Here is a 19,378-nt window from a genome sequence, read left to right as displayed (position 1 = left end):
CCCAGTCTCCACAGACAGACTGGGGGAATTTTTGTTTCCATCACAAAAAATTTAGGAGACACTTAAATGGGAGAGAAATGTCCATTGACACCACCACACAAAGGCAACCACTATTCCTATATTAGTATGTTTTTCTCCACCTTTTTTTGATGAGTTGTTTTTATCTGGTATTTTCTGACGTACTCATGATCACACAGTATGTGCAATTATCTATCCTACCTTTTCCACTTAACTTTGTAACATGTTTACTTAATTCGTACCTTGAGGCTCTCCAAAACTTACTTGAGCTAGCCTACCCCTATAGCGTAAGAATTCTGTCCCCCTTGTCATAAATTATTTGTAAACATCACATGGAATAGCTGAATAGCTCAAGCTCCTTGAGAACAATTACCCCATCTCAATCACCTTTGATTTGGTCCAAGACAGGGCATGAAGCTGGTGTTCAATAATTCCTGCTGAATAAATAACTTGCATTTGTACAAATCCTTCACTAAAGGGATTAATGGAATTTACCTAAGCACTCTCCTACTATTGACATCTACATTATTTCCAAATTTTCACTAATATAAATATGCATGAGAGCCACTCATGCTTGGGAAATAGTTCAGCAATTTCCCAAACACTTAAACATAGAGTTATAACCATATGATGCGGCAATTCTACTTCTAAGTATATACACAAGATAAATGAAAACATACGTTCACACAAAAACTTGCACATGAATGTTCATAGCAGCACTATTCATAATAGCCAAAAGGTGGAAACAGCTAACAGCCATCAACTGCTGAATGGATAAATAAAACATGGTCTAGCCATACGATGGAATAGTATTCAGACATAAAAAGGAATGCAGGAATAGACGCAATTGTTGGGGCACTGACCCCCACGAACTTTCAAAATCCATGTATAACTTTTCACTCTCCAAAAACTTAATTACTAACAGCCTACTACTGACCAGAAATCTTACTGATTACATAAACAGTTGATTAACACATATTTTGACATTATACACCATATTCTTACAATAAAATAAGATAAAGAAAATTTATTAAGAAAATCACAAGGAAGAGAAAATATATTTACTATTCATTAAGTGGAAGTAGATCATCATAAAGGTCTTCATCTTAGTCTTCATACTGAGTAGGCCGGCATGGACGTGGAATGGTTGGTCTTGCCGATTCGGGGGTGACAGAGGCAGGAGAATAAGTGGACCCATGCAGTTCAAACCCATGTTGTTTAAGGGTCAACTGTATTGATACATGCTACAACACAGATGAACCCTGAAGTCAATGTGCTGGGTGAAAGAGGCCGGACACAGAGGCCACACATTGTGAGGTTCCATCTAAAGGAAATATCCAGAATAGGCAAACCCAGAGAGACAGAAAGTGGATCAGTGGTGACCAGGGGCTGGGGGAAAGAGGGAATGGGAGTGACTGTTAACGAGCACAGGGTTTCCTTTTAGTGGGAAGAAAATGTTCTGGAATTAGATAGGGTGATGGCTGTACAACCTTGGGAATATACTAAAAACCACTGCTGTACACTTTGAAATGGTGACTATTATGGCACATGTGAAATATATCTCAATTTTATATTAATGATAGAAGGAATATCTGTGTCTATAAAGCTCATAAGCCGTACTTATAATTATTCTTTGAAAAAATTCTCAGAATTAAATTTCAAGGTCAAAGGATATGAAGTTTTACCCCTATATCTTAAATTTGATGCAAAAATTCAGATCATAATGTCTACATGGAATATAACCACTCAAGATCCAGAAGCCTTGGATTCACATTTTAGCTTCTTTTTCTCTCTTCTTTGTCCTACATTTTTTCCATAGCTCATATCATACTAGATATAATGTCATAAACTTATTGCATTTCAGTTGGGTATTGCCTCACGTCTTTTAGCTCTGTCGGCGTCACTTATTTACCAGGCACCCTGGGTCATCCACTTAGGTACGTCCCAGCTTTCTGCTCTTTACTGTAAGTAAGAGAGAGGAGCTGACAGTAAATATTTGAGAGATGTTGCCAAAGCGCTCTCCCATCGCCTCACATGCTCACCTGCAAAGAAAGAAGTGGTCTTTTTCACCACCTTCTGGGGATAAGTTTAATGCATTCAGCCCCAGGCTCCAGATGAATCCACATGGCCTAAGCGGGCTGACCTTCAGGGAACAAGCTGGTAGGGAGACAGCGGAGGTTTGACAGCGCTTTTGGAAGGTGGGGGACTTCCTGGGCCAGCTGCCACTGTCTCTTCATCCCACCCCCGCAACAGCATCAACCCCAGAGTCACTCACTTTCTCTGCCCTCAGCCACCACCCAGAGAGCTGCCAGATGCAGATCGTGCCCTTCACAAACCACATTTCTTGGTTCAGCAGAGCACACGAATACACACTGCTGGTCATTCCAGGGCCAGAGAGGGGAGAGAAGAAAGAAGGCACGGCCCAGCTTTTGTTCCCTTTTCGCCTACTGTATCCTGCTGGGTCCCTTGAGAGATGGCACCTGGGCCATGTAGCTTTAAACAACACAAATGGATTCCCTTACAGTTCTCAACATTAGAAGTCTAAAATGGGTCCAGGGGCCTGCATTCCTTCTGGAGGTTCTGGGGAGAATCTGTTCCTGTACCCTTTCCACCTCCTACAGGCCTCCTGTAGTCCTTGGCTAGTAGCCCCTTCCTTCCTCCATTCTCAAAGGCAGCATGGCCAGATGAGTCTTTCTCAGGATGCCATCTTTCTGGTTCTCTCTATTCTGTCTCCTTCTTCCACTCATAAGGACCCTTGTGATGACACTGGGCCTGCCCAGATCATCCGGGACCATCTTCCCTGGGCAGGATCCTTAAAGTCATCACAGCTACAAAGTCCCTTTTGCCACGCATGTCAACATATTCACAGGTTCCAGGGCTTAGCGACATGCACATCTTGGAAGCCATTGTTCTGCTGACCACAAGACAGCAGCTGGGGAGACTGCAGGGCCAGAGAGAGCGAGCAAGGCAGTCGGTGGCAGACCCATGCCCCGAAGCCCACACCTTCCCTGGACCAAACTGTAGGAAACTACAGGTGGGTAGCAGAAGGTGGAACAGTGAGAAGGGATGAGCGCTGCTGATCCCTCACACATTCTCTCCATCAAAAGGAGGCCAGGGCAATGCTCTGGCACTTGTGCTACACCTTCCAGTCTCAGGGAACAAGAAGATCTTTATATTTCCAATTCACGTTTGTTAAAATGCTCTTCAGAGAGGACACTATTAATCTCGGCTTCAGTTCCAACCCAATCCTCAGGAAATCCTAATGACTTCCTCCACCTTTTCTAAGCTACCTGGCTCACAGTGAGTTTCAAAGCCCGCCGGAACTTGGACACCAGCCCGCTTGTGGTTACTTAGGTGGTGAATTTGACCCTGTTTGCTGTGCTAGTTGCTTCTCCAAGCTTTTGGTGGCAAGCATTTACACTCAGAGCCACGGCTCTCCCGTAGCAGAGAACGGGTCCCTGAGCTCCCTGAAATTAGAAAGAAAAATTGATAAGCACAGTACATGGCATTCATCAGATTCCCAGGGATGTTGATCACCCCAAAAAAACGAAGCTCAGAAGTTCTTTTAGAGAGACTCCTCGTTCCTCTGTCAAAGTTTAAAATAGTAGTGAATGTGCCACAAACCTGTCACACTAATCCTGAAAAGCCATTTGGAATAATCATTTAAAATCTGTGTTTTTGCCCAAGGTATTTATTTAGAATATGCATAGGAATTGAACTGGCTCTTGTCTTCAAGTCCAATTCTATAAGTCTAGAATGTAGGGCAATGAGTAATTACACCTAGAACTCAATCTAAACGTTGCAACCATGTATTAATATAGTGTGAGTGTCCCGACTGTTAGTGATAGAGCCTCGGAACTAATCATTCTTAAATAACATTTGTAATTTCCTTGTGGAAATGTGAAGTCCTCTTAAGAATCAAAAAAAAAAAAATTATACATTGTCAGTCTTTTTATTGTCTCTAACACAAAACTATCATAATTAATGGACAAATTCCCAGACTAATATAAAAAGCAAACAGCTCCTCAAATGTATTTCAAGGAAAAAAGGGATGTTTAGAGGCTTTATGAATGGCAGTAAATCCGTAAGACACTTGACCATGGATGCCTGTAGGTGTTTTTTTGCGGGGGAGGTGGGGAATGACCACAGAGAATCAGATGCAGGTAAACCCCTGTGCCTGAGGAGTGCAAAGCTGCATTGACAGAAGACCGCCAGCCTCAGAGTCTTCAATCTGAAACACGAAGAGCACACCACCAAGATCTGTCTCACTGCTTCAGTGGTGACAAGGTGTAGCACTGTCCTCTAGCCCTCAACCATGTCCATCTCACTGAGACTTTTCTACCTTGCCATGAGCCTCCCAGGACACAATTCCCCTCATTGGCACCTACACCTTCCTGAACGTCCACCTGAAAAGCCAGGTTCCAGCATGTTCTCCAGGGCATAGCTTTTCACAGTGAAGCAATGGGCCAGCCAGCCTGAGAGAGCTGGGGGAGCCTGTTCACAGCCAACTCGCCTGAGTTTGAAGGTCAGTGTTACTGATATCCCAGCAGGGATATCACTCAGGTCATAAAACCCCAGTGAGAAATATGCCAGATGCATCTTTTAATTGTCACAATGAAACGGTACTACCCCATCAGTGAAGCCAATACTTAAAGGCTGCCTCCTATGAGTCGGTATTTGTTACCCAAAGCAATGGAGCAGCAACAGTGCTACATATCCACCAAACCCCTGCTTCCTCTTCCTCTTGGGCCCACAGAGAGATCACACTTCACAGTCTCTCTCCCTTGCAGCTGGGTGGCACCATGTGACTGGGCTCTAGACAATGGAATGTGGGCAGAAGCAATGTACACCCCTTCCAAGGCTTGTCCCAGAAGCTTCTGGCAGGATTCCCCATGCCTTCTCTCTTCCCTTGCCTGTGGGCCCAAAGCAAAGAACCCACTGGAGGACAGCAAAGCCTCAAAAAATGGGCAAGCCACACCACAGAAGCAGCCTGGGTCCACCCTCCACGCCCCAACCAATACTAAACTTACATGAGTGAGAAACTTCTATTCTGCTAAGCAATAAGACTTTGGAGCTGTTAGTATAGTTAGCTGGCTAACCCACTTGGAGATCTGGACAAAGGAAGGAAATAATCAGAATTTGTGAAAAGTCTGAATATTTCATCTCATTTGATGACATGAGCATCTTTAGTGATTCACAAAAAAGTTATCCAAGTATAGACATGTTTTGGAGAGAACTGGTTTGTCCTTCCCCACTATGGAGTCCTGCGGGGCAGGGGTAAGAAAGACCACTGCCCACATTTCCATTACGGACAGTGCTTCTTGCTTTATAGCATAGTCATCATTTGACAGGCTACCTCCCCTAACAGTCTGTGAGTTCCTTGGAAGAAAGGATTCACCTTTCTAAGCCAGAGCCCTCAAACACAAGAGTCCTTCATTAAAGTGCATGATAAATTAATCCGGCCAATTTCAGGAACTGATACCATAGAAAAACCAGTTTGGAGCCAATTAACACTTAAGAAAGAACTGGAAGGGGACAGAAGGGCATTTTAACTTGACTGAGATCACAAGGCCTAGATTATAAGAAATGCAGGACTCGGGAGGCCAGAGCACTACAGGGTCATTCCTCACTCGGACAGCTCTTTTTTTAGACAGATCTATCCTTGGAAGGAAGGTGACTTTCATCAGCTACCAGAGCTTGATGCAACATCCCTGAGTACCTCCCCTAGGTCTTTTGTTCTGAGTTTGCACTGACCATGCCACCTTCTGATCTACAATCTGGTTTCCTGAATGTGGGTCTGCCCACCAGAAAGGGAGTGTCCAGAGAAGATAAAGAGACAAGATCTTAGCAAGATGTTCTATCCTCCAGCAAAGAATAAACTGTTCTAGGAAAATCAGTCCAGGAGGTATTCAAGAAAACCAGCAAACCCCTGGGGCTCTGCAGCCCCAGTGATCCTACCGGTTCTCAGGCATGTTCAGGCATTGGTGCAATGGAAGTCCAAACACCTGAAAAATGCCACCCAGTAATGACTGAATACATCTAAGGTCCCTCGGTACATATTTTATTGAATCACAGACATAGATGGGAACAATTATTTAAAACTTTAAGGGAGAAAAACTTCAAACTGAGGAAACTATACTTTAAGTACTTCCTAGAGGTTGAGCATAGGCAAATGACTCAGTCTCACTGTGCCTCCATTTTCTCCGTTTTACTATAAGGTGATGAGGCAGAAGGCCTGAGACTATTATCAAGGTTTCTGGAATGTATTACATTCTCCAGTAATGCCTGTTTTCCTTCCATTTTATTTTTTTCCTCTAAAGACTGGAAGAATGTCGCTATTATTTTGATTTAGCAGCATAATACTGTATGAAAGGAACATAATCTAAAAGCAAGCTGACCTGAGGCCAAAATTCGAGTCTACCACCCAAAGGAAACCAAACCCAGAGGGGCGCCCAACCGCAGCCATCATCTGAGTGCCCCCCAGCAAGGGTCCCTCTGAGACAGAATAACAGAGAAAAGGAATTTCTCAACAAGCCTATCAAGAGCACACTCCTGAGCTGATGTGAAAACACTTTGTTCACCTCCATATATAAGTTCTAGGGATACAATTTACAGTAAATAAAATAGAGACAGACTTTAGCCCAGCTGGTACAAAGAATTCTCTGGGGCAGCACTGTCCAATGGAATCAGAATGAGAGCCCACATATTAATGCAAAACTTCTTAAACGAGTAAAAAGAAACAGGCGAAATGAATTTTAAAACATGTTTTATTTAACCCACTATACTGCAAATACTATCATTTTTACACGTAATGACTACAAAAATTACAAATGGAATGCTTTTCATTCTTTATTTCAATGGAGTCTTTGAAACCCGGTGTGTTTTACAGGTTAAGCCCATTTCATTTTAGGACTGACCCGATTCAAGTGCTCATTTGCGTGTGGCTGTGGCTACTGCACTGGATATCACAACGTCACACTCTCATCTAAATTCTACAGTAATTTGAGTCTGCAAATGATCACAGGTGCACAGGTGCATCACTTAAGAAAGACCTGGCCTGAGTTGCCATCCTCCACAAGCCACTAGTGGGGATTTTGAAGGAACCACACTTCTAAGACCACAAAACCGCATACAGGGAACTCCTGGCTTCCCTCCAACCCCCTCATATCCATCCGCATTCCCAGTAACCCATGGGAACTGCTATCCCCAAACCTGGATTGTTCTTTCCCTTTGCCAAGTTTCCCCTCACCCCGCCCCTTTCCTGTTCAAATGCTAATGCTTCTTCTAAGATGTGGCCCAGATTCCTCAGGTCCAGACCCAGCCCAGCCCAGCCCAGCCAGAAGCAAGCTGGCCTTTCTTTGGCCAGCCTCAGCACTTGATCTCTTCTGTGGCAGTTCTTAAAACTCTAAGTAGAATGCGGTCATTAATAAACATTGCATCTCCCCGAGTACTAGTTCCTTCAGGGCAAGGCTGGCATCCCCTCCAATGCTGACCTGACCCCCACAGGGCTCCAGGACTTGCCCAGGAGGTGCTCCACTGCATATACAGGATGAGTCGGAATTACTTGATCAATGCTGAATGGAGTCTGCCACCCAAAACAGGTTGTCTGTGGCAGCTCTAGAGCTGATTGTAGATGGTACTGGTCTGGACAGGAAATGCTCATGAGTAGGTGTGCAGATTGGAAGCTGGAGAGACTGGATCAGAGGGAGAATGGGCTGCAGTGTGACAGATGCATGGCTTCCTCTTCAGGGACTGGGCAGAACAGGTGCTCGGGAGCTGTTTACCAGAGTGATCGGAAACTCGGGCTTGTCGCATTAAGAATGGCATCATGGCTGCAAAGCACTAACAGGGGGAGCCAATGCAGGCTAGAGGACCTCATTAGGGGACTCCCAAGTCAGCTCTGAGCCTTCATTCTACAGCTGCTTACAAATCCCTAGACCCACCCCACGCACGCACAGACCAGCCCTCAGTACCCAGCCCCCTCCCATGGACCCAAATGGGTCCTCCTCACTGGCTCCAGACCAGGCTTTCAGGCATGATGGCCCAGAAACCAGGAAGAACCCCAGGCCACTGCAGTTCCCTCGTCAAGGAGGGCAGAGAAATGATACCATCCAGGAGTCTGACTTCTGAAACATGCCTTTCCCTAAGAGAAACCAGGCAGTGGTAGTCAGGCAAGTGGGACTGGGGACAGCAGGGGACAATGGGCGTGTTCTACAACCTAATTGTGATGACAGTCACACAGCTGTATAATTGACTAAAATTCATAGGACTGTACTAAAATGGGTGCATTTTATGATATGGAAATTACACCTCACTAAAGCTGTTTTTAAAATACACACACACACACTGACGTTCTTATTGAATACTTCATTTACAGTGGGGAAAAAAGAATTTAAGGATTCCAAGTCACATGAAATACTTGGGAGAAGAAAAAAACACAAGACTTGGATGCTATCACTAGCTTCGCTGTCATCTCACTCACTTGAAGCTGTTAGATGCATCTGGAGATTTTTATGTGTAAATTCCAAGTCATGGCTGGTGGATGTTCCAGAATATCTTCCATCTGGACACATGTTGAAACATTCCCGAAACTAATTACTTCCAATCCTTTGTGTTCATTCATCCCATTACTCTCTATATCAGGGCTCTCACACTATAGTCACAACCTATCAGTGAGCAGTGAAATTGAGTGAGTAGGTCCCTGGCAGTATTTTATTTTAAAAAGAAAATATTAAAGCACATCATACTTCCTAGGGGCAGTACAGTATGTACATGTCATTAATTTTTCTTCTGGTTGTGTATGTAATTAAAATAGGCTCCTTATTTTTGGTAACCGTCCACAGTACTTGGACAGGCAAAGCTGCAGGACATATGTATACATAGATACATCATGTAAATACTGGAGCACTGAATGTGCAGGGCCACTGCACGGGACGGTGCCAGGTGTGCAAACTAACACTGCAGCCACACAGCAAAGCCCAGCACTGTGCTCAACCAAACACTTAATCATCACGATAGCGTGAGGAGGTGGGCCCACTATCACCATCCCATGTTACCTAGGAGGAAGCTGAGCTCAGGGACACACACCTGAGAAGTGGTGAGACCAGGATGTGGGCAAGGGCAGTCAAGGACTTGGAAGCCACGCCAGAGGCAGCCAGCTCCCTGCACTTCCACACGGAACTCAGAGAACCGATTCCAAGCAAACTTCAAGGGTTCCAAGAGCTCTTTATAGGAATAAGTGTAATGTGAACCGTATTCCACTTTTAAATACTTTCTTATCTCCTTTACCCTCTTGACAAATTTCTAACGATGATTACTCTGGTGAGAGTATAGTTAGAGAAGCAAACGATCAGCCTTTTACTTTTAATATTGCCAAAATTTTAGATGGGAGTCTTAACACAGTCCTTTCAAAATAAAATACAGTATTATAATATTTTGGTCCTTAATTTACTACTGAATACAACAGGAAGAGATATTTTAAAATTAAAAAGGAGAAGTTTTAAGGAAGGATTTGGGAAATAAAGAAACAAATAGTAACAATGGACGGAAGAAGTAAATTCAACCGAATTGGGCAAGGAAAACTACACTGGCCAAGGAGAGCGAAGGGGCTGAACAATAACATTCTTTAGAAATGGCATCACAGGGAAGGCGACCCAGGATGCGTCTCGGCCATCCGTTCAGACGACAAGCGGCACACAGGGGTAAAGATGTCAGTCCTTCGGGCTCTATAGTATCAATTAAAGCTTTTCCAATACTGCCAAGATCAAGTCCCCTCCCCACTCTGGTTTGTATTGGAGCCCAGCTGCAGAAAGTCCTGCACCAGGATTCTAAGAGTAAGAACAAAAGGATTTTATCACCTGCCTTTTTTGGCATTAATTAACACCCCACACCCCGAAGGAAAAAAACAACAACAACAACAACAACTTTCAGCAGTCACTTAACTCGTTTTCTTTGGGGCATGAGAATTCCACTATTTATAGATGCATCGCTGCATATATCACCAACTGAATCCATGAACAAAAGCACGGGGGGAAATGCCAAGCATCTGTGACCTCCAGTCATCCAGCCTGCGCATATTAATTGTGTGCCAGGAAAGGATGCAGAGGAGAGCAGCCGCCCCAGGCAGTGGTTCTTTTTAAGTCTTGGATCTCTTTGGGAATCTGAGACAAGCCATCGATGTCCTGCCTGGAAAGATGTGTCTACATGTACACCCAAGATGCTGCCTCAAAGATACACAAAATGCTACCAGTCTGGGAACTCCAGTTTCAGGAACCCTGTTCCCAAAGCTCCAGGCACAGGGGAAGAGCCACCCAGGCAAACAAGCGCAGCTCGTGGGGATGGGTGGGTTTTAGAAGCACTGGGTTCAAGGCCCAACAGGAGCAGCAAGGCCGCTTCTAACCTGCCTGGGGAGGGGAGGAATGGGGGACGCTGGAGCCATGATGGGCAAGTCCCAGATGGACTGGGACCTGCCCTAGGTTGGGTGAGGGTGGGTGTGGTGAAAGGAAGCCTCCTGAAGAAAGCCTGGGCCACCCTGATAAGGAGATGGGTTCTGCAGATGGCAGGACGCCACTGGGAAGTGAAGCAGGGCCTGTCATCAGCAGATCTGCTTTGTCGAAAGAGGCTGCAGGGAACAGCGGGGAGGGAGGCTGAGGTGTGGGCAGAAGGGAGCCCGCTGTCTGAGCAAGGCAGGAACAAGGGGGCCTGAGCAAGCACTGGGCCAGGACAGTCCTTCTTGACTCCACAAGGAGGCCACTGACTGGGAGCTTGGCCATCATCTCCGCTCCATACCATCGCAAGAGGGACGGCAATGCCAGAGCTCACTTTGTAACCATTTCTGCCCGTTTCCGTGACCTTGATGGTTTCCCTGTTAAGCGGCATCAGGAAAACATGGAGTGTGACGTCTTCTGCAGTGTCTCTGCATTAACGCATGCCCATTAAAGTGGTAACTTATGATGAGTGTGAAGATTTCTACCATGCTAGGCTCCCCTTCAAGAAGGCAGGACTGGGGTCCCTGTCGCCTTTATCACAGACTCCTAGCAGGGGCCTGACACACAGGTATGTCAAATGAACAGGTAGGGAAGTCCAGGTGTTCCTGAGCTGGACTCGAGACGTCCTGAGGATATAGGAAGCCCCCTCTAAAATAACAGGCACTGGCCAGGCACAGTGGCTCACGCCTGTAATCCCAGCACTTTGGGAGGCTGAGGCAGGTGGATCACCTGAGGTCACGAGTTCGAGACCAGCCTGGCCAACATGGTGAAACCCTGTCTCTACTAAAAATATAAAAATTAACTGGGTGTGGTGTCGAGTGTCTGTAATCCCAGCTACTCAGGAGGCTGACGCAGGAGGATCACTTGAACTTGCGAGGCAGAGGTTGCAGTGAGCCGAGATCGCACCATTGCACTGCAGCCTGGGTGACAAGAGCAAAACTCCGTCTCAAAAAAACAAATAAATATATAAATATAAAATAAAAGAACAGGCACTGATGGAGGACTCTGTCATTTTGCTCAATATTGGCTCACAAGAATCATTAACAACAACAACAACAGAATCCTCAGAGCAGGACTGTGGGCAACAACACTTGATCCAAAACACGCAGAGGCCAGACCTATCAGCAACCACCTGAGGCAGCTTAGTAGGGAGCCCCAAATTCTCCTTTAGAAGAGAAAAGAAGTAAAGTTCTTCACCTGCAGGAGCACAGGAAATACTCCACATAAAAACAATTATTCCAAACTCTATACTACATGGAACCAAGCCAGTGTATGTCACCATATGCCCCTGCCACTGTGGCAGAAATTTCTGGATCCTTGAGCATCCGAAAGGCTATTACCATCCACACTGAGCCTCTCCAGTACCACCACTGAAATGTGCCTGCGGCCTCAGGGAAGCGGTGCATTCTCGGCCTGGCTCACACACGCTGGGCCAAGTCCACCTGAGGCTGACTGTGTGTGCTGGGCAAGAGTGAGCCCCTCGGAGGACACACACTGGGCCGTCTGCAAAGGTTCCTCCAATCTTTACACCACCACTAGGAAGCCTGCAGAACCAACCTTCAGCCACACAAACTCGGAGGCCTGTGGCTGTGCCCTGAGCTCCTTCTCTTAGCCGATGCACGTGACCATGAGGCAGGAATAGAAGCCCCACCTCGAGCCCTGGCTAGGCAGAGCTGAGCTTCGGCTGGGCAGGACAGCTGGCCAGTCAAAACAAAAGCACAACACCCAGATGTCTCCAAGACTGAAAGCAACACTGAGAACAAGTAAGTTGCCATTTTTCTGAACTACATTTGCTCTCTCAAACTTGTCCATGCACATCCCCAAAACTGAGCCAGCAGCTGAGGGTTCAGCACTGTCATCCAAGAGAACTGTCAGGTAAATCAGGCCTGCTTAATTATGTTCAGAACTGCCTGGCCACCCATATCGCTGGAACATTGCTTATCAGGACTCCACAGTGAGTTCCTTTTGCTGACGCAAACTTCGCGTGCCCGAGGTCGGCTTTGTGATGGCAGAGGGGGCATGTCAGAAGGAAGGGGTGACTGCCAAGTCCAGAAACCAAGGGAGGCCAAAGGGCCATGCTCACCTGGCTTTCACACATGATGGTCTAGAAACCCAATCTCAGAGAACAAGGCTGCAAGGGCAAAGGCCCTTTGTTTTTGCATCTTGCAAAAACTAGTCCAGTGCTCTACACTCAGAAATGACCTTAACTCAGTCTTCTCACTCCAGGCATCCACAGTCCCCTTTCCCTGGAGAGGCAGCCTCACCACAAGCCCAGGCAACCCTGATCCCAAGATGCTGCTTAGCTCTGAATTTTCACTGAAGGGCAAGTGTCTCCAGACGCCCCCACCAGACTCTGCACACCACAAAGTCAAGGATCATAGAGGTCCTGTCTCCCAGGACCTAGCTGGGATCCTGGAGCGCGCTATGCTCAGATGAATAGATGAGTGGGGGGATAGAGAGAGAAAGGATGGAGGGAGGGATGGAAGGATGGACTAAAGGATGAATGGAAGCAGGGATGAATGGAGGCAGGGATGGCTGACTGGACAAAGGGATGGGGGGACGGAGGGAGGGAGGGATGGGCAGATGGATGCAAAAATGAGGGAGCTTGTTCTGGAGAAAACGCCAAGGGTGTGGCTGGACAGTCACTCCATAGAGAGGTTACCCGTGATGTTAATCAGCCATCTTAGCAGAAGCCAGGAAGAAAGATGGGCTTACACCAGCAGAGACACTGCCAGTTTGAACTACAAGGACAGAGAAACTGGAAGTGAATGAAACAAGGCTGTTGGATTTCTTGGATTCTATAGGATGCGACCATAGATATATTCAGATGAGAACACAGACTATTCTTCAAGAAAATCAAAGAATCACCCTGAAGGCAATTCAAAGACCATCCGGGCTGCCACTCCCACACAGGGCTAGGGGACAAGGCCGTTTCGTCCTCAGTTTCAGAGGGTGGGGGCCTCACACAGTCAAAGAAGGGCACCTAACAGAGCTGTGAGGGTGATGCTGCCACCCCAGTGGGCCTGGAAAGCGGGGCATCTAGCCAGGGGATTATTCTGGAGCCTTAAGATCTCATGGAATTTGTCTTGCTAGGTTTTGTACTGGCTTGGGACCTGCTTTCTTTCCTACTTCTCCCCTTTGGAACAGGAATGTCTGTCCTATAGCTGCCCCACCATTGTATTTTGGAAGCACACGTCTGGTTTTACAGGTTCATGGCTGGAAAGAAATTTTGCCCCAGGATGAATCATACCTCAAGTCTCACCCATACCTGATTTAGACGAGATCTGGATGAGGCTTTGGACTTTAGAGTTGACGCTGGAATGAGTTAAGACTTTTGGGGCTGTTGGGATGGAATGAATATATTTTGTATGTGAGAAGGATGTGAGTTTTGCGGGGCCAGGGGTGGAATGCTATGGACTGAACTGGGTACCCTCAAAATTCATGTTGAAACCTGAACCCCAAAGCATTTGTAGATAAGGCCTGTTAAGGGATGATAAAGGTTAAATGAGGTCATATGAGTGGAGGGCCCTAATCCCATAGGGCTGGTGCACTTATAGAAAGCGGAGACACCCAAGTGCACTCGCTCGCTCTCTCTCTCTCTTCCCCCTCTCTCTCTCTCTCGGCGCCGCCCCCCTCCCCGGCCCCCATCCACTTTTGAGAGAACACAGTGAGCAGGTGGCCATCTGCAAGCCAGAAAGAGTCCACACCAGAAACCAACCAACCAAGATGGAACTGGATCTGGGACTTCCAGCCTCCAGAACCACAAGAAAACAAATGCATGTCGCTGAAGCCCCCAGCCTGTGGTACTCTTACGGCAGCCCAACCACACACAGACAGACAGCCCGGCTCCAGTGTCAAGAACAGTGGGAGAACCCGGTGCCCTCAGGGGAAGGAGTGTGGCGGAAACAAAGGAGCAGGCAGAGGCAGTGGACAACCGTTCACTAGAGTATTTTCCCCAAGCAGCACATACTTTAAGGTCTAAAATCTTTTAAGACTTTGGCACCCTTCACAGTCCACTAATTACACTAGCGCAGGGATTCTCAACTACCATTTTGCCTCCGGGGGATACTTGACAATGTCTGGAGATACTTTTGTTTGTTATAACTAACTACAGAAGAGAAGAGTTCCTGGCATCGGGTGGGTGGTGGCCAGGGATGCTGCTCAATATCCTCCAATGCTCAGGGCGGCCCCTACAAAAACAATTACCCAGCCCCAAGTGCTAATAGTATCACCTTTGATCATTCTCTAAAATACGTGAGGAGCTTCACATATAAACAGGTACATCACAGTGCTACTTATAATAGCAGAAAAAAAAGGAGACAAGCCAATGTCCAATGCTCAGGATGTGATCCAACAAACTACTGCATAGCAACAATCATCGAGAGTTAGTCCTTGAATACCTGGCTACATGTGAGGCTCTCGTTAGGTGCTGTGGATGGAGAAAAAAAAAACACAAAACCAGAACTCCTGTGTTGGTGAGGTCTACCTGGGATAATTTTCAAAATATGCTAAATAAGACACTGTAATAACCTGGGAGTACTTTGGCTAAATCGTTAGGAGAAAGGGTGGCTATAAAATTATTTGAAGTCCGGGCACGGTGGCTCATGCCTGTAATCCCAACACTTTGGGAGGTCGAGGCAGGCAGATTGCTTGAGCTCAGGCATTCAAGACCAGCCTGGGCGACATGGCGAAACTTCATCTCTACAAAAATTAGCCAGGCATGGTGGCGTACATCTGTGATCCCAGCTACTCAGGAGGCTAAGATGGGAGGATCACTTTCAGCCTGGGAGGCGAAGGTTGCAGTGAGCTGAAATTGCGCTACTGTACTCCAGACTGGGTGACAGAGTAAGACTCGGTCTCAAAAAAAAAAAAAAAAAAATTACTTGATATATAATCACATTTTGGTTTCTTTCTTTACAAAAAGAAAAAAGACTAGAGAAGACACCCCAATACAGCTGTAATTGTCAGTAGGGAAGTGGGTGGAATTGTGGTGTGTGTACAAAACTAAAAGCCATTTTTTAAAAGGAAGCTTTTACCCAGAATCTAACATAGCCTCCTCTTCCCATGATCCCTAAGGACAAGTGCAGCCATCACTGAATTTTTTTGAGTTCTGCTCCTCTCTGCCTTAGAGAGGGGCAAGCCAGGTGGCGAGAGCTGGAACCACATGACTCCAAGGCTGCCCAGGGCCACCTGCACTGCAGAAGTGTTCTGCCTGGTTTGCTGTGTTGGCCCTAGGGTGCTCTACCAAAACCTCAACGGGCTGCCAACATTAAAACTCAGATTTCATTTCAAAACCCAGAATGTCTAACTCCCTTGAAAATCAGAAGCGGACAGGTACAGTGGCTCCCTCCAGCACTGTGGGACGCCAAGGCAGGAGGATCACTTGAGCCCAGGAGTTCGAGACCAGTCTGGGCAACATAGGGAGACCCCATCTTCCTTAAATTGTTTTAAATTAAAAAAAGAAAATCAGAAGGGTTGGCACATAGGGATTACAGTGCCCAAAGACGGTAACTGGCTAAAGCTGACTAGAGCCATCCCTTTAGAAGGGGCTGCTCGCTAGTTCACCACAGTCCCCACCACTCCCTGTTACCCCTCTGACAGCTTGCCATCTGGTTGTAGGCCCAACCCCAGTGGGCATTTGTCTGTAATGACCATGCCAAGGCACAGAGGTGGGCAGTCTTCCTGGCAAACAGATGGTATGTACAGAGAGCTCCTGCTAGGCAAGGCATGCATGAAGCTTGGTCTAAATGATGCTCACAAGCCTCGGGCATGTAATCTTGGCTAAGGATGAGAGGGCTTGGGGACCGCACCCTAGGAAAAGCACTGTGAAAAAACTGCAAAGTGCTATTCATTTGTTTAAATATTCACTGCAGGAAAGCTATTTGAGATGCTCAGTGCCAGGAGTTAACCTCAAGGAATTCAGCTCACCGGGGGACCAAATACATAACAAATTACCACTACACAACAGATTCACTCAAAGGCAGGGACACAGCCATGGGAGCTGAGAGGAGAAAGCTACTCGACACAAATACAAATTATTTTATGGTCAGCAGAACATCAAACCTTAGCCCCAGCCTCACTACCCACGCCCCACTCCCACTCCCATTCCATAAAAATAATACCGTGGCATTTATAGCTATTCCACCTCTTTCCCCTTTACAAACCCCATTTCTAGTTTCCAAGGTCATTAAGGGGTTGAAATGATCAACAAACATTCACTGGTTATTGTGAGCAAGATGGAGTCCCATAGCCAGTGAATCTCCACCCTGGCCAGGGGCCATTTCGATGGGGACTTAACTGGTCTGTGGTGGAACACAGGCAGCAGTATTTCTGAAATGCTACATTCGAACTGGAAGCCCAGGTTTAGAACCACTTGTATGACTGATGCTCACAGGTAAATATTCATCTGTCCCCCACGTGCCTGGCATCTAAATGGACAAGGAAGATTCCAGGTGAGCAGGGTCAGAAGTGTGATATTGTGGCAAATGAAGAAATATATTTGCTTCTGCTCCAGGGTCCTGGCACACAGCTCCTAAAACCCTTGGAATTTCCTGAGCAATAGGGGTGCTAGGTACATCTTTTGTTCTGATATTTCGTCTTTGACCCTGGAATCCTGACACAGAGCTCCTAATCCCTTGGGATTTCCTGAGTGATGGGAGGTCTTTTTTAATTAGGTGATTCTTGGTGGGCTCCTGGATGGGGGCTGGGCACCAGAAAGACCAAGCCATGATTGGAGGCTTGGAGAGAGGGAGAAAGGCGGAGACTGAGTTAATAATCAATCATGCCTACGTGATGAAACCTCCACAAAAATCCCTTTAAAGTGCCGGGTTCAGAGAGCTCCCGGGTTGGCAGACGCATCCGTGTGCATCCCAACTCCATAGGGACAGAAGCTCCTGTGCTCAGGAGCCTTCCAGGCCTCTGTGTGTTTCTTCATCTGGCTGTTCGTCTGTATCCTTTATCATACTTTTTACTCACGCAATAAACTGGGGAACGTGTCTCCCTGAGCTTTGTAAGCAGTCCTCACAAATTAATCAAAACCAAGGAGGGGGTTGTGGAGATCCTGATTCATAGCTGGTCAGTCAGAAGTAGGGGTGACAGTCTACTACTTGTGACTGGCATTTGAAGTGGGTGGCAGTCTTGTGGAACTTAACCTGTGGGATCTGACTCTAACTCTAGGTAGACGGTATCAGAAGTGAGTTGAATTAGAGGATGCCAGTTGGTATCCACTGGAGAATTGCTTGGTGTGTGAGGAAAATGCCCACATATCTGGTTGACTTGGGGTGAAGCCTTTATTGTTTGTTTTTTCCTATACTGTAAACAGGAACCATATATGGAGGGCACATGATGAGTAATTTTCACCAGCATCTGTTTTTCAAACTAGGAATTCCACCTTGAATGATGAAAGTGTCTTCAGAACTGTCATCAAATAATTACTCATCCACCCAGCTGTGGAAGACTGGGCACTGCCATTTGCCAAGTGCAGGAAAAGCTCTGAGAAACAGGATAACTGAGGGCAACCCCTGACACGATAAAGTCTGGCAGAGAAGAGAGAAAAGAAAAATGCCAGCCAAATACATAAACTAAGTACATTTCACCGTGATGTGCTTCTGCATGGAGTAAACAGTAAAATGCAACAATTACACCAGACCCAGCCTCTCCTTTTTTGGAGGGAGGCGATGGTTTTGAAATAGTAATCAATCTTTAAAACTGGTATACAGAGCATGTGCTAATGTGTGACATGTATGGCTGACGAAGAGACTGAAACAGATTTTCCTTTGCCTTCTTCTCTGTAACACTGAATATGATGTACATAAGATAATCCTATAGAAAATGCACAGCAAAAAAATGTTTTGCTAAAAAAAAAATAAATAAATAAATAAAAATAAAAAAGCTTTTGCCCTGACATGGAATTTAAGAAAACACATGCATTTATATGGAACTGAAGCCCTTTGAAGCACTATTTTTTCTTCTCTTTTCCCACATATCAATATCTGGTCTCAGTAATCCCTATGTTCTTCCCAACGTTTGTACATAAGTAACTCATTTTAGACCAGCAGGAGACAAGGGTGGGGAAAGAGGGTCCAGGTTGTGGACTGGTGCAGAAGGTGACAGGAAGGAAGAGCGACTCACGTGGAATACGGTAGGCTCTCCCGCCCCTATGGACCCAGAAGCAACAAGGGAACCACCAGGGTGGATCCCAGATCCATGGATGGGGTTTCCTCATAAGAGATTCCTGTGGGGCAGAAAACCCTGGGGACCCTCTCTCTCCTGCCCCCATGCTCAGCTTCCTATCAGATGGAGAACTTCTTTCATTAGAAAGCTCCACCAACAGCCCCGGAACCATCCCACTTTCTCAGTTTTGAGCCCAGCCCTCAGCCATCCTTTGGAATTAAGGGTACTTTGGGTGGGGGCAAAGCAGGCTAAAGATACTGTTCTTCATGGTAGAAAACCTCAATATGCCACATTGCCATGATTAAAGGGACATTTCAAACAAGTACTGAGAGTGCTCTCCCGACCAGACGAGTCCCCACAGAACTAAGCATTGCACCGTTCAAGGGCTTACGCATGAATGCCAGGGTGCCCTTCAGGTGGACAAAGTGTCACCTCCTGAGAGGTCTGACAACATGACAAGTCTTGATGGCACCTCGAGGGGCTGGGCCACCCTGTCACATGAACCATCAGGACAAAGGGCAGCCTACTGCACATTTCACAAATGCTCTGCAAGGGCATTCCGGGAACAGGGAGCAGGAAGCTGATGGCAGCTGATTCTCTACAGAGCCACTGGATTCTCTTTTTTTTTTCTTTTTTCAAAATTTCCCTTTGAACATAGGATTCTCTTTTTGATGTCACCTGTTCAGTCAGGTCACCGGTTA

The 19,378-nt window shown here is 46.4% G+C and overlaps 1 protein-coding gene across 1 annotated transcript in view, besides 5 other annotated features; it reads right to left on the bottom strand.

Annotated features, from left to right (window-relative positions):
• The window catches only part of WWC3 (WWC family member 3), a 129,221-nt gene that overhangs the window by 86,524 nt on the left and 23,319 nt on the right, over positions 1-19,378 (bottom strand).
• Positions 7,249-7,872: an enhancer, noted in NCBI's record as "H3K27ac-H3K4me1 hESC enhancer chrX:10018119-10018742 (GRCh37/hg19 assembly coordinates)". NCBI's record gives its function as "activates a minimal SCP1, AML or CMV promoter by ChIP-STARR-seq in primed H9 embryonic stem cells {active_cell/tissue: H9 hESC(primed)}" and the evidence as "EXISTENCE:reporter gene assay evidence [ECO:0000049][PMID:30033119]".
• Positions 9,828-10,460: an enhancer, noted in NCBI's record as "H3K27ac-H3K4me1 hESC enhancer chrX:10015531-10016163 (GRCh37/hg19 assembly coordinates)". NCBI's record gives its function as "activates a minimal SCP1, AML or CMV promoter by ChIP-STARR-seq in naive H9 embryonic stem cells {active_cell/tissue: H9 hESC(naive)}" and the evidence as "EXISTENCE:reporter gene assay evidence [ECO:0000049][PMID:30033119]".
• Positions 10,461-11,094: an enhancer, noted in NCBI's record as "H3K27ac-H3K4me1 hESC enhancer chrX:10014897-10015530 (GRCh37/hg19 assembly coordinates)". NCBI's record gives its function as "activates a minimal SCP1, AML or CMV promoter by ChIP-STARR-seq in primed H9 embryonic stem cells {active_cell/tissue: H9 hESC(primed)}" and the evidence as "EXISTENCE:reporter gene assay evidence [ECO:0000049][PMID:30033119]".
• Positions 16,174-16,706: an enhancer, noted in NCBI's record as "OCT4-NANOG-H3K27ac hESC enhancer chrX:10009285-10009817 (GRCh37/hg19 assembly coordinates)". NCBI's record gives its function as "activates a minimal SCP1, AML or CMV promoter by ChIP-STARR-seq in naive H9 embryonic stem cells {active_cell/tissue: H9 hESC(naive)}" and the evidence as "EXISTENCE:reporter gene assay evidence [ECO:0000049][PMID:30033119]".
• Positions 16,707-17,241: an enhancer, noted in NCBI's record as "OCT4-NANOG-H3K27ac hESC enhancer chrX:10008750-10009284 (GRCh37/hg19 assembly coordinates)". NCBI's record gives its function as "activates a minimal SCP1, AML or CMV promoter by ChIP-STARR-seq in naive H9 embryonic stem cells {active_cell/tissue: H9 hESC(naive)}" and the evidence as "EXISTENCE:reporter gene assay evidence [ECO:0000049][PMID:30033119]".

This window comes from Homo sapiens, chromosome X, assembly GCF_000001405.40.
Source record: "Homo sapiens chromosome X, GRCh38.p14 Primary Assembly".
In the NCBI taxonomy this organism is placed as follows: Eukaryota; Metazoa; Chordata; class Mammalia; order Primates; family Hominidae; genus Homo; species Homo sapiens.
The sequence above is the reverse complement of the archived record's forward strand: the minus strand, read 5'-3'. Positions and strand labels throughout refer to the sequence as shown.